We start from the raw sequence: 18,929 nt of genomic DNA, 5'->3' as shown, positions 1-18,929 counted from the left end.
GAAAAGGGGAGGAAACTTTCCCTGGCAGCCGGCTGATGACCTGGAGAACGAAGGCTTCTCTGCTGCCCTCCCTCCCCCCGACTCACCAGTGCTGCCGCAGCTTGGTTTTGCCTGGCAGCTCTCTCTCTGCCTGTGGCTGTGACATTTCAGGCTGTTTCTCCAAAGACCAGCCTTGGCTGTCGGCCTCACTGACTTTTCCTTTTCTCTTCCCTCAGTATTTTCATTCTCTAAGTCCGTTTTATAAATTCCATTGCAATTTCTTGTTTGACTGACTTGATGATTGTATCTTGTTTAATTTCAAGGCGACTGTTTCTCACGGGTCTATTTTCATGACTGACTTCCTGTTTAATGTCCTGGTGGTTGAAAACACACCGAGTGGTCTCGGTCCTGGGGACTCTGCAGTGGCTGCACGTGGTGCAGCCCTGGTTGGTTTTGGTAAATGTTCTGCACACGTCTGAACGGCGTGTGCTCCGTCGAGAAAGGGGCCAGGCTCCGTGCATGTCAGGCAGCCGTGCGTGTCAGGTGGCCACGGCTGCCCTGCCTCCAGCGTGCTTGCTGGTTTTTGCCTGCATTCAGGCAGCCTACTAGAACGGGGACATGTCCATCACTCCTTCTCCATTTCTATCAGTGTTTTTATTTTGACGCCTGATCATTGGGTGCATATATAGATTTGGTGCTGCGATACCTTGTGTCCCGAAAACCCAGGGGGCTCCCTCTCAACCCAGGTTCTTCAGGGGCTGCCAGGGCTTCCTATACCCAGGTGGGGCTTGTGTCTCAGCCAGATCAGGGGCCCCTGAGGGCTGGTGGATGCCTCAGCCTCAGTGCTGGCTGGTTCCGGGAGAGGTGTTTCCAAAGGACAGGAACGAGAGCCCCCTGGGAATGTGTTGGATTCCAGGCCCACGTGACTCAGGCCGGCTTCCTCAGGGGTCTGCGTCCTCACCCTGGCTGCAGCATCCCCTCGCCCAGGCTCCAGCGTCCCCTTGCCCAGGCTCACGGGTCAGGGCCACCCTGCATCAACTCAGGGATGGAGGGTTTGGGATAGTGAGAGGCCATGCTGTGGCCTGCGGTACCCCCTACCCGGGGACCCTGCTGAGGAGCCCGACCACCCCGGCCTCCCTGGGTGGGCCCTCCCCACGCCGACCAAGCAGGAACCCAGAAGTGTCTGCCAACCTGCAATGTGTGTCACAGGTGGGCGCCAAGCTGAGCGGCCTCAAGTCTCTGGAGCTGGAGGTAGAGGAAGAGGGTGCCACAAAGTCCAGCAGGGACCCGCCGGCCTCCAGGGCAGCCCCGGAGGAGCACTGCAGGAGAGGCGAGGACCTGAAGGTGCGGCTGCCCCTCCTGCCCCTCGTGTGGCCTCTGCCCGGAGCCTGGCCTGAGCCTGAGCCTTGTGCCCCACAGAGGAGGATGGTTCTGGCCCAGCAGTACCTGGCTCAGGCGTCAGAGGTGCTGCTGCAGTGCCTACAGGTGGCCCTTGGCAGTGGCCTCCTGGATGTCGCAGCAGCCGCCAGCCTGGAGATGGTGGAGTGTGTCGGCACCCTGGACCCTGCAACTACCTGCCAGTTCCTGGCTCTGTCTCAGGTGTGTCTCTGCCCTGCCCACCTCCAGCCAGGCCCTTCATGGAGGAGGGAGGACCCTGGGCTTCAGCTGGGGCCCTCGCCTTGGGGGGACTCCATTAGAGAAGCAGGCCGCAGGCCAGGGTCCTTAAGCAGTGGGAGCCTGCCGGCCACGTAAACTTGTGGCTCAGAGAGAACATGCATTCGTGTGCTTATCCCCGATCCCCTGCATCGGGCAGACATGGAGACCTGGCAGTCACAGGCCAGCAGGGCCCCGTCCATGCGGACCTCACAGAGGTCCCACAGAGGATCGGGCAGACACAGAGACCCGGCAGTCGCAGGCCAGCAGGTCCCTGTCCGTGTGGACCTCACAGAGGTCCCACAGAGGATCGGGCAGACACGGAGACCCAGCAGTTGCAGGCCAGCAGGTCCCTGTCCGTGTGGACCTCACAGAGGTCCCACAGAGGATTGGGCAGACACAGAGACCCGGCAGTCACAGGCCAGCAGTGCCCTGTCCGTGCAGACCTCACAGAGGTCCCACAGAGGGAACAAGCGTGGCCCCACGCGACTCTGCAGGTGCCAGGAGGAGCCAGCATCCCAGGGGAGCCTTGCCAGGAGAGCCAGCCCACTCCTGCTCCCAGGCTGCAGCTGCTGCGCACCCTCCGCAGGGTGCAAGGCCTCCCCGCCCAGGCCTCGGGCCCCTGGTACACCTCCCCTGCTCCCTTTCAGAGCTGCTCGGCCTCAGAGACGATGAGGGATGTCCTGCTTGCAGCCACAGCCAACACCAGCAGCTCACAGCTGGCGGCCCTGCTGCAGCTACAGCACCAGCTCCGGTGCCAAGACAGGACCACCACCAGCCTGGGCGCCCGTGTGGAGCAGAGGCTGGCCGCCGTGTCCAAGGTAAGCGGGCACGGATGCCGCTGAACCTGCCCCCAGCTCTGGAGCTCTGTGGACAGACACTGCAGCCGCACAGTCCCACGCCTGAGCGAGGCAGCCTTGCTCACCCCCCAGCTCATGAGCCATCCCTCCCCGTGCCCCCAGCCATGTGCACCTGGGTCGCCTCTCCAAGCCTCAGTGTCCCCTGGTCCTTGTGGGGGTAGTAACGGCCCACGTGGTGGGTGCGGTGAGGTTGGCGAGGTCACAACTACAAACGCACAGCCAGGCCTGCAGCCAAGAGCTGACCAGCAGATGGGCCAGCAGTGCCCTGAGGGCCTCATGTGGATCGGAGCTGCATGTTCCCTGCCTCCGTTTAAGGAAATATTTTACACCTTGGTCAGGTCTAAGGGTTCAACCTTGAGAAACATGTCTGTGGAGCAGGACAGCTAACGGCGCTTTTTGTTCAGATTAGCAGATGCGAATGGCAGTATTTAAAGAAAAAAGACGACGACATTTCTTGAATTGTGGGAAACAGACAAGCATGGCCTAATGGGGCCCCTCCCTCCTTCGGCTGCGTGGCTGCCTCCCTGGTCCTCTCGTTGGGGTGGACCTGACCAAATATCCCCTCGTCCAGGGCTGTTTGGTGGACAATGCTTTGCTGGTGAGGGTGGGGCGGGGGCAGCATCCGCCACTGGCTGACAGGAGCACCCCTGCCATTGTGACATCCAGAGATGTCTGCAGACATGGCCAGTGGGCGCAACATGGCCCCGGCTGAGAACTGGTGACTCAACCCAGAGGTGGAAACCTGGAAAGCTGCCGTCCTTCTGAAGCTGAGAGGACAGAGGGTGGAGGCAAGGGGCCTGCAGGCCCAGCCCAGGCCCGAGGACAGGAGAAGGTGGCACAGCCTGGCCCTGCGCCTGGAGGAAGATGCTGATGCACATGGCCCTGCCGGAGCTGGGTCCAGGAGGGTGTGCATGGCAAGCGGGAATTAAAATGGGCTAAGCTGGGCGTTGGGGGCGCCTGTGGTCTAAGCTGGGCATGCAGGGGGGTGCCTGTGGCCTAAGCTGGACATGGGGGCACACACCTGTAGTCCTAGTTACTCAGGAGCCTGAGGCAGGAGGATCACTTGAGCCCAGGAGTTCGAGGCTGCAGTGAGCCATGATAGTGCCTGTGAATAGCCACTGACGCCCAGCCTGACCAACATAGTGAGACCCCATCTCAAAAAAATTGGGCTGCCCCGGGCAGCACTTACTGGACAGGTGAGGAGCAAGCAGCCAGGCTGGTACCAGAGCACCTGCTGTGGGTGAGCTGGGCACGGGAGTCATGGCTCTCCCTCCCGCACGGCTGCAGACCAGGCAGAGCTCACCCCATAGGAGCTTTGGGGACCAAGGACACCAGTGTGTGTGCAGGACTGAGTGCAGGGCCAGGAGGCGGCCTGGGGCTTGACATGTGGGAGCCATCAGTCACCACGATGGGGGCCACCACTCCTCAGGCCCTCCTGTTTCAGGAATTCTCATGGAAAAGCTGCACCGAATCTCAGCCAGGCACAGACTCAGTGCAGTCGGGCTGGGGGATGTCGTAGACCACAGCAGGCCCACCGCAGCAGCCTCGGGAAAGGCTGGCGAATGGCAGAGCCTCATATTTTTGAAGTTATCAGCCGTGGAAGCAATGAGAACTAGCTAAGCTAAAATGTTTGCACTGAGAGCATTGAGTCAACCCTCACCGTCCATCCTGGGGCCACTGGGCAATTCGGAAATCAGCTGGGACTGGTGTCAACAGAAGCTCTGCGAGGAGGAGGAGCGAGCCTGCAGCCAGGACAGGAGAGGTCACTGCGCTGCAGCTAGGAGAGCCCCACAGCACCCTGGGAACACCCACCAGGAGCAGCCCCGCAGCACCCTGGGAACGCCCATTGAGAGCAGAGCCCCACAGCACCCTGGGAACACCCACCAGGAGCAGCTCCACAGCACCCTGGGAACACCCACCGAGACCAGAGCCCCACAGCACCCTGGGAACACCCACCGAGACCACAGCCCCACAGCACCCTGGGAACACCCACCGAGACCAGAGCCCCACAGCACCCTGGGAACACCCACTGAGACCAGAGCCCCACAGCACCCTGGGAACACCCACTGAGACCAGAGCCTTACAGCATCCTGGGAACACCCACCAGGAGCAGCCCCACAGCACCCTGAGAACACCCACCGAGACCAGAGCCCCACAGCACCCTGGGAACACCCACCGAGACCACAGCCCCACAGCACCCTGGGAACACCCACCGAGACCAGAGCCCCACAGCACCCTGGGAACACCCACTGAGACCAGAGCCCCACAGCACCCTGGGAACACCCACCAGGAGCAGCTCCACAGCACCCTGGGAACACCCACCAGCAGCAGCCCCACAGCACCCTGGGAACGCCCACCGAGACCAGAGCCCCACAGCACCCTGGGAACACTCACCGAGACCAGAGCCCCATGGCACCCTGGGAACACCCACCGAGACCAGAGCCCCATGGCACCCTGGGAACACCCACCGAGACCAGAGCCTTACAGCACCCTGGGAACGCCCACCAGCAGCAGCCCTACAGCACCCTGGGAACGCCCACCAGCAGCAGCCCTACAGCACCCTGGGAACGCCCACTGTGACCAGAGCCTTACAGCACCCTGGGAACACCCACCGAGACCAGAGCCTTACAGCACCTTGGGAACGCCCACTGAGAGCAGAGTCCCACAGCACCCTGGGAATGCCCACCAGGAGCAGCCCCACAGCACCCTGGGAACACCCACCAGGTCCTGGGCCTTAGGGACATTCCCCTGGAAGCTTCTGGAAGGCAGTGAAATCTGCTGTGGTCTTGTGGTGCCTGGAGAGGACGCAGCCTCCAGGACATAGTGTCCTCTGCAGCATCCCATATGTGCTCTCCTAAATGAAGGGCTCAATGTGGGGGTTTCTGGGAAAAGTGAATGCAGCCCAAGGTTGAATCTGTGACTGAGAAACAGACTGAAGAAAAGACCCTGTCTGAGGGGGACATTGGAAAAGACAGAGCAAGGGTGCTATGATTTGAACGTTTGTCTCCCTTGAAACTCATGTTGAAACAATGCCCAATGTGGCAGTATTGAGAGGTGGGGCCTTTAAGAGGTAACTGGGTCATGAGGGCTCATGAATGGATCAGCCCATTTGTTGACTAATAAGTTAATGGATTATGGTTATCATGGGAGTGGGGCTGATGGCTGTATGAGAAGAGGAAAAGACCTGGGCTAACACAGCCCCCTCACCGTGTGTCATTCTGGGCCACCTCAGGACTCTGCAGAGGCCCCACCTGCAAGAAGGCCCTCATCAGATGCGGCCCTTTGACCTTGGACTTCTCAGCCTCCAGAACTGTAAGAAATAATTTCCTTTTCTTTGTAAATTACTCAGTTTCAGATATTCTGCTATAAACAACTGGAAATGGACTAAGAAAATTGGTACCAGGAGTGGGGTGGTTAACAATAATGAATACTTGAAAATATGGAAGCAGCTATGGAACTGAGTAATGAGCAGAGGCTGAAAGCATTTAGAGGAGAAGGCTTTTAAAAACCCAGTATGTCTGTAAATGGATCATTGAGGGTGATTCTGGTGAGGGCCTGCCTGGAAGACAAGATGACAAGGGAAAGTTTGGAACTCTTTAGAGATCCGTTAAGTGGTCGTGACCAGAATGCTGATTTGGACAGGAAAGGCCATTCTGATGAGATTTCAGATGGAACTGTGGAGCAAGGTATTAAAACCTAGAATAAAGGCCAGCCTCGTCATAAATTAGCAAAGACTTTGGCTGAACTGTCCACGTGGAACAGCTTTGTCAAAGGCTGAACTTCAGAGTGGTGAACAAGGGTATCTGGTAGAATAAATATCCAAGCAGCAAAGAATTAGGCTGCTGCGTGGCTACTTCTAACCACTACACGGAGCTGCAAAAGGGAAAAAATAACTCGGAGATGGAATTATCATCAAAAGAAAAGTGAGCGGAAGGATCTGGAAGCTCTTAGCCTGGCCACGTAAAGAGTGAAAGGTGTGCCCAGGAGAGGAGCCAAGGCTCTAGACCGTTCACCAAAAGTCAGCACAGAGAGGAAGGGCCGGGTGCTGTTCTTCAAGGCAGTGGAAGAAAGACCCAGAAGTCATTTCAGAGATCCTCAAGGCTGCCCTCCCATTGCAAGCCTGGAGGCCATGGAGGGCAGAATTGCACTGGTGGATGTGCCAGAGGTGCCCTCCACAGGCTCTCTGCCCAGGGCCTGCTGGGGACCATGCTCCCTAAATTCCAGTGCAGCTCTCCATGGCGGCCCCAGGGGTGGCTCAGGCAGCTCTGGTGCAGATAGACCCACAGCTCAAGAAGGTGTGGCCACAGCATTGGCCACGGCCACGTGGCACTGATTCTGCAGGCTTGCAGAGAGCAAGATGGAGGCTTGGCAGCCTCCATCCAGATTTCAAAGGATGCCATTGAAAGCCTGGAGGCCTGGGCAGAGACTCGTCCCAGGGATGGAGCCACCACAGACAGCCCCAGCAGAGCAAAGCCACGGGAACAGGACCCCCACCAGGACCCCAGAGCTGTGGAGTCACTGGCAGCTCGGGAAGCTTCAGGCACTGGACTCCCACCCATAAGAGCAGCCATGTGGGCTGCACCCAGCAAAGCCATCGGGGAGGCCCAACCCCCAGCCCCTGCGTCCAGAGGCAGCAGGTGCTGTCGGAAGAGACCATTCCCTGAATTCAGGATCACATCAGCCCTGTGGGGTTGGGGCTTGCTTCGAGCCTCCACTCCTCATTTTGCCTATTCCCGTTTTCAAGTGGGAATGTCTCAGCCGGTCCCACCGCTGTATGTCGGAAGTAGAGAACTTGTTTTGATTTCACAGGCTCATAGATAAGACTGAACTTCGGACTTTTGAGTTGCTGCTGGAACAAGTTAAGACTTTGGGGCTACGGGGTTTGTAGGAATCTATTTGTATATGAGAAGGACATGAGTTTTGGGGGCAGAATGCTATGGTTTGAATGTTCCCTCCAAAACTCATGAATGGATTGATCTAATTAATGGTTTTAGATTCAGGGGTTATCCTGGGAGCGGGACTGTGGCTTTATAGGAAGAGGAGGAGAGACTTGAGCTGGCACACTCAGCCCCCTCGCCACGGAATGCCCTGTGCCACCCCGGACTCTATGGTGTCCCCACCTGCGAGAAGGCCCTCACCAGACATGGCTAAAACCGAACAGCGCTGGGCCACACACAGCCACAGCAGAGATCCCCAGTACCAAGGTCACTCAGAGCGTGTTTTCCAACCACGGTGACATAAAGCAGGAAATCAGTAACAAAAATGGACCTGTGAGAAACACGGGCACCTTGAAATTAAACAGTTACTTACGATGATCAAATTAGTCAAAGAAGAAGTCACAGCAGAATTCAGAAAACACTTTAAACTGACTTAGACTTAAACTGACTTAGAGAATGAAAATACTACAAATAAAAACTTACGTGACTTAGCTCAAACGGGTTACAGGAAAAATAACAGCCTTGCATACAAGAAGAAAGCCAGAAAACACCTTGATTTAAGCTTTGATTTCAAGAAGCTGGACAACAACAATAAATTACAGCTAAGAAAAATGAAAGAGGACAAATCAATACAACATCAGAAACAGCGAAGCCAAAACCAGCAGAGGAAATCCAAGGCACAAGTTGGTTCCAAAGAGAAGACAATGAAATGGAGAAACACCTGCTCAAGAAAGAAAGGGAAAAGGCAAGTTTCCAGTATCAGTAAGAAAAAGACCCATCCCTGAGATGATGCAGGCATTGAAAGTTCACACAGAATGTTCTTGACAGCCTTACTCCAATACAGGCAACACCGGACTCAAATGGACCAACTCCTCAACATAACACAGCTCACCAAAGCCAACAGAAGCGTAGAAAATCCAAATGATTCGGTGTCTGTTAAAGAAATTGAATCTCTTATTTAAAATGTTGCTACAAAGAAAACCCAGACCCCACTGGCTTCACCAGTAAATTCTTCCAAAAACTGGAAGAATAAATAACCTCTGAAAACTCATAGAAAGTAGAAATAAAGCAAACAACTTCCTCTTTTACTAAGAGGCCAGATGAACGTTGACACTAGAAACTTAGCAGGGACATTACAAGAAAGGAAAGGCTCTCTCATCACTAATACACAAAAATCCTAACAAAATACTGCAAATAAAGTCCAGCAGTTATAAGGGGCGCCACGTCAGGGTGAAGTAGTTGTGTTCCATGTGGTTCAATATTCAAAAATCATTCGATATCATTGACCATGTTAACAGAAGGAAAAGGAGACAAATCGCAAAATCACCTTGACAGGTGCAAAAAAGGTGTCTTTCAAAATCCAACATCAACTCATGATTTTTAAAATTAAGATAGAAGCAAATGTCCTTAATCCAATAAAGAATATCTATACAGCCCTAGCATGCATCATATTTAATGGTACAGTATTGAAAAGTTTTCCCCAAGAGCGGAAATGCACACCCTATCAGCACTTGTATTGAATACAGAACAATATGACTAGAAAAAGAAATAACATGTAGAAAGACTGAAAAGAAAATACAGAACCAAGAGACTGAAGAACTCGGGTGCTGTTCCGTGTGTGTGGGCCGAGAGGCTCCGTGCCATGAAGCCACCAGTTCTCTCTGTGGCCGAGGGTTCACGAAGGCTCTTCCTCCTTCCGGTGAGGTCTTAGCCTGGTTCCCCTGAGCTATTAGCAATGTTGTTTTCCACAGAGATGGCCTGGCAGGTGGCCCAGGGCTGTGTCCCTTGTGGGGACCTGGGGCTGCGCCACCCCCCTGTGGCCACGGGAGACACAGGGTAGGAGCCGTACAAGGGAAAAACGACAAATCAGACTGCGCTGAAATTCAGAAGTTCTGTTCACCAAAAACGCCCTGCCGAGAGTCAAGGGGCAGCCACAGAGAATGAGAAGATATTGACACTAGGTTGCCGACACATGTGTGTCCCACATGGATGAAGGGTGTAGGTCCCTTTTCAGTAAGAAAAGGAGACACTGATTGAAGATGGCACGAGGTTGGAATCTCACAAAAGCAGAGATTCGTGTGGCCAATAATTTTAATGGTGCTCAAGTTCATTAGTCAGGGAAATGCAAAATTGAAGCCTGACGCAGATAACCAGACACCAACCAGAATGGCTCCCATGGAAAAGGAGGACACGGCCAGTGGGGATGAGACGGGGATGGGGGCAGCTGAGGCTCCCTGGGCCTCATGCCTGCCCCTTGGCACAGTAGCCCGTGGGTGCAGCAGCCCCTGGGCAGGGTTCTGGCAGAATCGCTGTAGCTGACACAGCAAGTCTGCACCTGACTCTGCGCCCGGTAGAAATCCTTCGCTGGGGTCCCCAGAGAGCAGCATCGCTCATGACCCCCATTGACGGGAAGCCACCCAGATGCCCTTGGCCACAGAACGGATGAAGACGCTGTGGCATTCCCAGCTGTGGCATTACCAGCTGTGGCATCTGCAGGGAGGAAGGCCAGCCCCACGCTCCACCTGGGTGAAGCCCACGGCGCAAGCCAGAGGCCCGGCAGAAAAGCCCACCTGAGCTGCTAGAATCTGTTGTGGTCCCCTTGTGGGGACGAGGGCCAGTGGCCGGCAATGTCCCATCTCTTTGCCTGGCCACACAGGTGTGCCCACTGCAAAAATCCATCGAGCTTTTCACGCATGGGCTTTTACGCCACTTTCTGTATATTCTACTTTGATAGTAAGTTTTATAAAAACTGCTTTGTTTGTGCAAACTTGAAGCTATGACTCAGAACCAGAAGCCTCACAGCTCGATGGAGGGCTGCCCATGCGGAGAGGCCCAAGCCTCCAGGAGCCCTCTGGCTGGCCCTCAGGGGCTGTGGTGGCCGCCTGCCGCTGGTGGTGAGGAGCCTGAACTGCGTGCCGGGTCTGGTATTAGACAGACTCATAGTCCACGGGAGCGGACGGGCCGGAGCTGCTGCCTGCACCACCTGACCACAGCCGACTGGCATCCCAGGGGCCTAAGGCCAGGAAGAGAGGGCCTTCCCCAGGGGAGCATGGGGGCACGGCTCTGAGTCTGCACTGTGTACACGTGTGTCCGTGCATGTCTGCGTGAGTGTGTGCGTCTGTGTACACGTGCGTGTCTGTGTCCGTGCATGTCTGCGTGTCTGGGTCCGTGTATGTGTTCATCTGTGTGTGTCCGTGCATGTCTGTGTGTGTGCATCTGTGTACATGTGCGTGTGTGTCCGTGCATGTCTGTGTGTGTGCATCTGTGTACGTGTGCATGTGTGTCCATGCATGTCTGTGTGCATCTGTGTACGTGTGCGTGTGTGTCCGTGCGCATCTGTGTACGTGTGCATGTGTGTGTCCGTGCATGTCTGTGTGTGTGCATCTGTGTACGTGTGCATGTGTGTCCGTGCATGTCTGTGTGCATCTGTGTACGTGTGCGTGTGTGTCCGTGCATGTCTGTGTACGTGTGCGTGTGTCCGTGCGCATCTGTGTACGTGTGCATGTGTGTGTCCGTGCATGTCTGTGTGTGCGCATCTGTGTACGTGTGCGTGTGTCTGTGCATGTCTGTGTGCGTCTGTGTGCATCTGTGTACGTGTGCATGTGTGTGTCTGTGCATGTCCGCGTGAGCACGTCTATGCACGGGTGGGTGTCTGTGTCCGTGCATGTCTGTGTCTGGGTCCATGTACACGTGCATCTGTGTGTGTCCGTGCCTGTCTGCGTGAGTGCGTGTCTGTGCACGCGTGTGTGTCTGCATGCATCCATGTGTCTGTACATGTATGTCTCCATGTGTGGTGTGGAGGACACAGAAGGATGGAGGGAAAGGCACCACTCACAGAGGCGGCGCTGGAGAATTTTCCATTTGTTATTTTGGGTTTGGTGAACATGCACTTTGCGTCATGCAAATCAGGTTTCTAAACATTAACAACCGGAGAGAAATGACATTTTGGGGCCGCCGGTGACTCTTGCGTGCCTCTGCTGCCCCCTGGTGGCAGCCCCGAGTCACTTCCAGCAGGGCCCCCCACCCCAAGGGCCCAGCCTCGGGCAGGAAGGGTACAAAGCCCCCGCCGTGGCTCTGCCACGAGGTCTCCTGGAAATGAGGGGAACAGCACAGCGACGTCCTTGCGTCCTAAATGCATCCCCTGATGGCCGTTTTTCGCCACACAGGCTTGGCAAAATCTCTGCGTCACTGAGCAGCATTTTAACCTCTTGAATGAGATGCCTCCGACCTTTTGGATCCTCTTTCTGCACCTCTCAGGGGACAGGTAAAGCCGCTCCTTCTTGTTGAGGCCGCCCCCAGCCCGCTGAGAGGCCTCAGGGAGGCAGAGACCCAGCCGTGGGCTGCCCACACCTCAGCCCCACCCCAGGGAGGCCTGGGACTCGGGAAACGCCCGGACAGTCCCAAGAAGGTGCCGGACAGACACCGGGTACCCCAAGGGGGGGGGGCCGTCCAGAGACGCCACACACCCCTTCCTGTGACCTGTCTCCAGTACAGGGTCTTTGTGTCTGGTCTGGGCGTCCGGACCCGAAGGTCACTGTTATGGTGGAGCCGAGAGCAGGACAGCTGTCCTCTCCAGCTCCCACTGGCCTGGAGCCAGCCGGCGGTGCCTCTGGCAGTGACCACAGAACTCACTGGCCGTGGCCAAGTGCCCGGTGCATGACCCAGCGTGTTCTCAATCCACGTCCTGACCGGCCATGCACACCCAGCGGTGCCCCTGGAGGCGCACACGGGGAGGGCCCTGCTGGGCGTCCATGGTCTGCAGAGTTGGCCTCACTGGGCTCCTCTGAGGTCGCTGGAGCTGGGCTGTGAGGTGTGTTTCCTTCATGGCTTGCCTGCGACCCTGGCCCACGTCCTGCCAGCAGGTCCCGTCTGTACGGCGCTGCCTACGAGAAACCCAAGTTCATTACTGCAGCCAAAGGAAAGGTGCAGGCGGTGGGAGGTGAGCAGGGCTGCAGGGGAGGGGGAGGGGGAGCAGGGCAGGCGGAGCATGGGCGAGAGTGGGGAGGTGAGCAGGGCTGTGTCGGGAGGGGGAGGTGAGAGGTGGAGGGGAGGGGGAGCGGGGCGAGAGGGGGAGGGGAGCAGGGCGAGAAGGGGAGGGGAGCGGGGACGGGAAGTGGGGAGGGGAGTGGGGGGAGGGGGGAGCAGGGGCAGGAGCAGGGGGAGGGGAGCGGAGGGGACGGGAGCATGGGGAAGGGGGAGCAGGGGCGGGAGGGGAGTGGTTTCGGGAGGGGAGCGGGGGCGGGAGCAGAGCTGATACCCACTGTGCCTCAGGTTCCCTGCACACGGGCCCTTTCCTTCCAGAAGCTGAAGGCCCACCAGGGAGCCGCTGGGGTCCCAGGGGTGTGGCCTCTCCCAGCCCTCCACCCACAGGGATGGAGGGGTCTGTAGAGCCTGTGACATTCTGGAAACAGGTGTAGACGGGGCGTGTGCTTCCCTGGGGCCCAGGAGGCCCATCCGCTGCCTGCGCAATGATGTGGCAGCGTCTCCACAGCATGGGACCAGGGGGACCCCACATGAAGGAAGGGACTTCCATCCATGCAGCCTTTCCTGTGGGACAGCAGCCCTTTTCCCAGTGCTCACCATGCACGGTCCAGCTGCCATCCTCAGCCCTGGGCAGCGACAGAGGGTGTGTCCATGTCCCCACAGGCTCCTGCAAGGTGATGCGTCTGGCCATAAGTCCCACTGCCTTCTCCCACCTGCTGGCCTGTGCCCAGCAGTTCCGGAAGCAGACCCAGGCCCAGGTGTACAGTGAGGACATGGCCCTGAACATAGGCTCGGTGAGGCCCTCCAGGCTCCAAGCCACCCAGCCGGGACCCTCTGCTCCCCACCCCTGGGAGCCAGGACCCTGGCGAGGTGGGGGGAGGGGCGGGGCGCTAGGCCAGGCTGCTGAAGGGCTTGGGCCATCCCAACACCCGGGCACTGCCCAACTCCCAGGCCAAGCTCCATGTGGGGGGAGAACTTGCTCCTTGGGCTCCTTGGCCATGTCTGATCCCTGAAGCACAAACAGGAGGGGCCTGGTCCACTCTGCTCCGCAGAGCTCAGGGTCACCTGGGCCCGGCTGTCCCCACAGGCAGGACCCTCCGTGGTGCGGGCAGAGGAGATGGGTGGGGGCTGGGGTCTCAGGGTGACCCTCCAGAGGATGGGCCAGGTGCTATGGGGCCCTCGTTGCCGAGCCAGGTGCCCTTGTCCACCATGCTGTTTGCAGAAGGGGCAGGAGCTCGGCCTTTCTGCAGGGGCCTGGCCCTCGCGGGGTCTGGGCCATGCGCCCTGTTTGCTACGGGGGCCTCTTTTTTGGATTGCGGTAGGAACCAGAAGGCCTGCAGGTGGAAGAGAAGGAGCGCCCTGTGCAGAGGCTCAGTAGCGTCCTGGGGCCCCTGGAGGAGCTTCTGCAGCCGCTATTCCCCCTGCTCAGCCTCTCCAAGGCCAGGTACTGGGGATGACGTTGAGGCTGGCACCCCACCACGCTCACGCATGGACACGTGTGTCCAGTGCTGTGGCCAACCACGTGTGCTTGCTGTGCCTTCTCGGCCGCCTTTGTTCAGGACTCGGCGCCGCCTGCCTGCTCCCAGGAAGCAATTCTTCTGGTTCTGCCTCCATTCCTGCCTGGAGGAGTACTGCCCACTGCCCACTGCCCACGGTCCCTCCAGCCCCTGGCCCAAGTGTGGGGTGGGAGGGCAAGCACCTCCAAGGGACCGCCCGGGCTGCTTTGATTTGGGGTGGGAAGGAAGGCAGAGGGGACGGACACCTGGCACCGTTTAGCTTGGCTGGTGGATCAGAGATGATCCCAAAATCCTGTGGCTCATCCCGGCCCCACCTCAGTGGGACCATCCCCAGAAGTGAGCGTGGGGATTCGTGGTGCTGCTGCCTTAGAGTGAAACAGGCTGAGCAGGTGTCGCCTATATTCCAAGCGTTTGTTATCTCTGTTTCTTAAACCCGAATATATAACCTGACTTTCAGAGTGCAGACACCTGCGGTTGTTGCCGATTCAGGGAAGTCGAAGGGCAAAGACAAGGAGAGGAAAACGTCCACAGGACAACACAGTGAGTGGGGCGGGCGTGGCCACTCAGCCTGGGGAGCTCATCCCGCCAGAAGAGGTGGGGTTGGGATCCACCCACCCATCCGGGAACGCCAGGGGGGGTCAGGAACCCAGGAGTCCCACAAGCCCTGCTGCTCCTTCCCCTGAGGCCTCCCTGCGCCTGAGGTCCCCGGAAGGTTCTCTGCACAGCCCTGGACCAGCCCTCTGGGTAGGAGGCTCTGTGCCAAGCCTCCTGAGAGCACCACGGAACCCAGCACAGCCACCTTCGCGTGGGTGGATTGTCAGCCCCGCCACACCACACGTGCTTGCTAACAAAAAGAATCGTGTGGAGGGACAGGCGTGATGGGAGGCTGTTCCTCGCCCCGTTCTGGGGCATCTGGAGGAGGAGGTGGCATGGAGTCAAGGCGGGCTGCCAGCCTTTCCCAGCGCCCAGCAGCCAAGTCAGAAGACGGAGCCCTGCGACCCCGTGGGAGGGGTCCCGTCTTCAGGAGCTGATCTCCCTGCACTGCTGTTTCCCAGGCACAGTCCAGCCTGAGGTTGCCGATAAGATAGTCCTGGTCGCAGACAGACATCTCCTGGAGCTGCCACTGGAAGGTCTCTCTGTGTTCGATGAAGGGACAATTTCCTCTGTGTCACGAGAATTTTCTCTTCAAATGCTGTGGAATCGCCTCCATAAAGAAGAGACAGGTAGGAACTGCCCTCAGCCACCTTAATGTGTAATTTTAAAATGGAAATATTTAAATTATTTTTCAGATGAAACAATGTTAGCTCCTATCAAGAAATAATCATCAAATGTTGCAACATTTTTCTAGGCATTTATTCATTCAAAGATATTTGTAGGATATAAATACTCACCAGCCTGGGCAACATGGTGAGAGTGCATCTCTACAAGAAAGTTTAAAATTAGCTGGGCATGGTGGTGTGCACCTGTGGTCCTGGCTACTCAGGAGGCTGGGAGGTGGGAGGATGGTTTGAGCCTGGGAGACTGAGGCTTTGGGGAGCTGAGATGGCGCCACTGCACTCCAGCCTGGGCAACAGAGTGAGACCCTGTCAAAAATAAAATATATATGTATATATATAAACACTCAAAACTATTTATAAAATACCTGCTATGTGCCAGTATCCTGGTGCTAAACACACAGGGAAGACAAACTTAACGCTGTTCTTGCCCCCACAAATACCTGTTTCAAAGGAGGGGACCAGATGTGTAGTAAACAGCCAGCCTCTCCGTTAATCACTCAGACAGTGAAAAGCACGAGGGAGCGCGCGGAAGGCCCTGACCTCGGCTGGGATTCGGGGGTGATGACATTCTGTGACTGAGTGCTGGCTGTGCAGACGTGCCCCGGTTGTGAAGCTTCCCCGAGCGCTACCCTTGCGGTACGTGCAGTTTTCTGCACTTCGGTATCAAATAAAATTAAAAATAAATCGATTGGACTTTTGCTTCCATCTCAGATGAAGTAACAGGGACCAGATTCGTTCTTCCAGCTGAGACAAATAAAAACCAGAGAAAAGCACATGAAATGAGGGTTTTCAAACATTGACGAGCAGTCCGCGCAGGACGGGGGGCCTCGAAGGGGGTTTGGCTGGCGAGCGCCATGGCCCACCCAGGTCTTACTCTCTGGGGAATTTCCAGGCCACAGCATTGGGGGGGGGGGGCAGGAAGAGCCCAGGGGTCTCCGCAAGTTGAGGACAGACAGTTTGGAGTCTGGGAAACTGACAACTACAACGTGCAGGGCGGGACACCTGGAAGGAGAGAGCTGCAAGGAACGGCCACTCCGAGATCTGCAGAGCCCTCAGCAGGAAGACAGCCACCACCTGTGTGCGAGTCCAGGGAAACAGACAGCTCTGAAAATAGTGAAAACACGGATAAATACTTAAAACGCCTTTATTTTCAAAATCTCTTTAAAATATTTTTGAGCAAAAAGCTTAGAGCAAAAGACAATAATAATGGTATGGGGTTTTATAACATAAATGTGAAATGAATGACGACAGCACAAAAGATGAGAGGGAGGGAATGGAAGCAAAGTATTTAAAGTCTCCATCCTCTGGAGAAAGTGGTATAATATTACTTGGAGATAGACTGTGATAAAGTTATAAACTATACATCCTCAAGTAATCAATAAAAACAAAACAAGAAAAACAAACAAAAAACCCCACAGAGTTTATAGCAAATACATAACGAAGAAGATGAAATGGAATCATAAACATACCCTTAATCCAAAAAAACACAGAAAAAAAGGGAACAGAGAACAGATAGGAAAAATAAGAAAAACAAATAGCAAGATAGTATATTTCAACCCAACCATATCTATCATCACATTAAGTGTCTAAACACCCCCAACTAAAAGAAAAATATCATCTGATTAAATGAAAATTCAGCGTTCAAAATATGCTTCCTCCAAGAAACCCACTTTAAATACAAAGAAAATGGTAAGTTAAAAAGAAAGGATGGAAAAACCTTATCTCTTAGTATCCAAAGAAGGTTGGCATGGTGAGATTAAATTAGAAAAAGGTGGAGTTCATCCTGGGAATGTGACCAGGGCTACAGTGGGCCATTCCGTAAAGAGGAGGAGGCTAATTCATGAAGAGGATGTGAAACCTCAGTGTCTGTACATCGATTAACATCCCCGTAAAACACACGAGACAAAACCCATGGAGCCACAGAACAATCAAGACGTACCCGAGGATGGCTGGGGAGGTCAACATCCCTTTCTCAACAGTGATGGAACAAATATGCATCAAATCAGTAACGGACATTGATGTAACATTCCCCCCACGGCAGAAGAATGTACACTTTACACACACACACACACACACACACACAGAACATTTGACAAGATATACCCTAAGTTGAGCCATAAAACAAGCCTCAAAAATATGAAAGGGTCCAAATTACCCACAGTAGGTTCTCTGACCACAGTGGAGTTAAATAAGAACTTAATAACAGAAACCATGCCTGGAAAAACCCAGACACTTGGAAACTAAATATGCTTCTTAAATACCCACGGATAAAAGAAGAAATTAAAAGGAGGGAAATTTAGAAAATATTGTGATGTGAATGAAGACAAAAGCACAATTTATCATTATGTGTGGATGCTGCTGAAGCGCAAGAAGGACTTTATGGAACTAAGCATGTATGTTAGGAAAGAAGAAAAGGCTGCAAAGCAATGGCTGCTATTTCTATCTTCAGAAATTAGAAAAAGAGCAAATTCAACACAAGCATCATCAAGGATGATGAAAATAAGAACAGAAATCTATGACACAGGAAACAGAAACACAAACCAGAAGCAAGTGCTTTGAGAAAAATCAATAAAATTAATACACCTCTAGTCAGGTCAGGCTGATCAGGAAAAAAGAGAGACACAAAATTATCAATATCAAAAATGATAGAGGCAGCATCACTACAGAGTCAAGAGAGGATAAAAAGTAAATAATGAATAATGCTGCACCAATAAATTTAACAACTTAGATGAAATGGACAAGTTCCTCGAAAGACCCAAACTTCCAAACTCGCTCAAGAAGAAAGGGATGACCTGGATATGCCTGTATCTATTAAAGTAATAGAATCTTTAGTTTAAAATCTTCCCACAAAGAAAAAGCCTTGGCTGGGCGCGGTGGCTCACACCTGTAATCCCAGCGCTTTGGGAGGCCAAGTCAGGTAGATCACGAGGTCAGGAGTTTAAGACCAGCCTGGCCAAGATGGTGAAACCCCATCTCTACTAAAAACACAAAAATTAGCTGGGTGTGGTGGCATGTGCCTGTAATCCCAGCTACTCAGGAGGCTAAGACAGGAGAATTGCTTGAACCCGGGAGGTGGAGGTTGCAGTGAGCTGAGATCATGCCACTGTACTCCAGCCTGGGTGACAGAGCGAGACTCCATCTCAAAAAAAAAGAAAAAAGAAAAGAAAAAGAAAAGAAAAAACATCTATACCCAGAGGATTTCTACACACATCCTCCCACAGCAATTAAAAGAGGAGACTCTGCTTCCCAACTGATTTTCTGAGGCTGGCATTATCCGGATACCAAACCCAGAAAAAGACATTAGGAGATTAAAAAAAAAAAATGGACCAATATGCCTCATGGCTATAGATGCTAATAACATTCTTAACAAAATGTTAGGAAATGGAGCAAAACAATATGTTACAAGGATTTATATTATGTCCACGTGGGTTTTAACCCAGAAATACAAGGGTAATTAATTTAATATTTGAAAAATCAGCCAATGTAATTCACCGCATTCATAAGCTAAAAAATAAAGACTATCTGATGATTGCAATAGATGCAGAAAAGCATTTGACAAAACCCAACATCCATTCGGAATACAAACTCTCAGAAAATGAGGAGGGGAAGGCGGCTTCTTCCAGCTGGCAAAGGACATCTGCAGAACACCTGCCCCTGAGCGTCGCAGGTTGGCAGGAGGCTGAGGCCATCCCCTAAGGCCAGCAGCCAGGCAGGGCCGCTCAC

The 18,929-nt window shown here is 54.5% G+C and overlaps 1 protein-coding gene across 13 annotated transcripts in view, besides 3 other annotated features; it reads left to right on the top strand.

The window, feature by feature from the left end:
* CFAP46 (cilia and flagella associated protein 46) overlaps positions 1–18,929 on the top strand; it is a 134,179-nt gene that overhangs the window by 94,061 nt on the left and 21,189 nt on the right. For 7 of the 13 annotated variants that reach the window (XR_007061969.1, XR_007061970.1, XM_047425388.1 and 4 more), the window contains exons 42-50: positions 1,189–1,323; positions 1,399–1,578; positions 2,283–2,453; positions 11,596–11,693; positions 12,289–12,368; positions 13,076–13,206; positions 13,735–13,856; positions 14,387–14,469; positions 14,985–15,152. Coding sequence is in view for 10 of the 13 variants with exons in the window: in XM_047425388.1 (XP_047281344.1) it covers positions 1,189–1,323; positions 1,399–1,578; positions 2,283–2,453; positions 11,596–11,693; positions 12,289–12,368; positions 13,076–13,206; positions 13,735–13,856; positions 14,387–14,469; positions 14,985–15,152 (1,168 nt within the window). In the remaining 3 variants the exon portion in view is untranslated. Of the gene's footprint in view, positions 1–1,188; positions 1,324–1,398; positions 1,579–2,282; positions 2,454–2,896; positions 3,491–11,595; positions 11,694–12,288; positions 12,369–13,075; positions 13,207–13,734; positions 13,857–14,386; positions 14,470–14,984; positions 15,153–15,707; positions 15,895–18,929 lie in introns of those variants that run through there. The other 6 variants (NM_001200049.3, XM_047425387.1, XM_047425392.1 and 3 more) reach the window with 5 other exon arrangements.
* Positions 10,619–11,148: an enhancer, noted in NCBI's record as "H3K4me1 hESC enhancer chr10:134650866-134651395 (GRCh37/hg19 assembly coordinates)". NCBI's record gives its function as "activates a minimal SCP1, AML or CMV promoter by ChIP-STARR-seq in naive H9 embryonic stem cells {active_cell/tissue: H9 hESC(naive)}" and the evidence as "EXISTENCE:reporter gene assay evidence [ECO:0000049][PMID:30033119]".
* Positions 11,149–11,679: an enhancer, noted in NCBI's record as "H3K4me1 hESC enhancer chr10:134650335-134650865 (GRCh37/hg19 assembly coordinates)". NCBI's record gives its function as "activates a minimal SCP1, AML or CMV promoter by ChIP-STARR-seq in primed H9 embryonic stem cells {active_cell/tissue: H9 hESC(primed)}" and the evidence as "EXISTENCE:reporter gene assay evidence [ECO:0000049][PMID:30033119]".
* Positions 11,680–12,210: an enhancer, noted in NCBI's record as "H3K27ac-H3K4me1 hESC enhancer chr10:134649804-134650334 (GRCh37/hg19 assembly coordinates)". NCBI's record gives its function as "activates a minimal SCP1, AML or CMV promoter by ChIP-STARR-seq in primed H9 embryonic stem cells {active_cell/tissue: H9 hESC(primed)}" and the evidence as "EXISTENCE:reporter gene assay evidence [ECO:0000049][PMID:30033119]".

This window comes from Homo sapiens, chromosome 10, assembly GCF_000001405.40.
Source record: "Homo sapiens chromosome 10, GRCh38.p14 Primary Assembly".
Lineage (NCBI taxonomy): Eukaryota > Metazoa > Chordata > Mammalia > Primates > Hominidae > Homo > Homo sapiens.
This window is presented reverse-complemented; position numbering and strand designations above follow the sequence as displayed.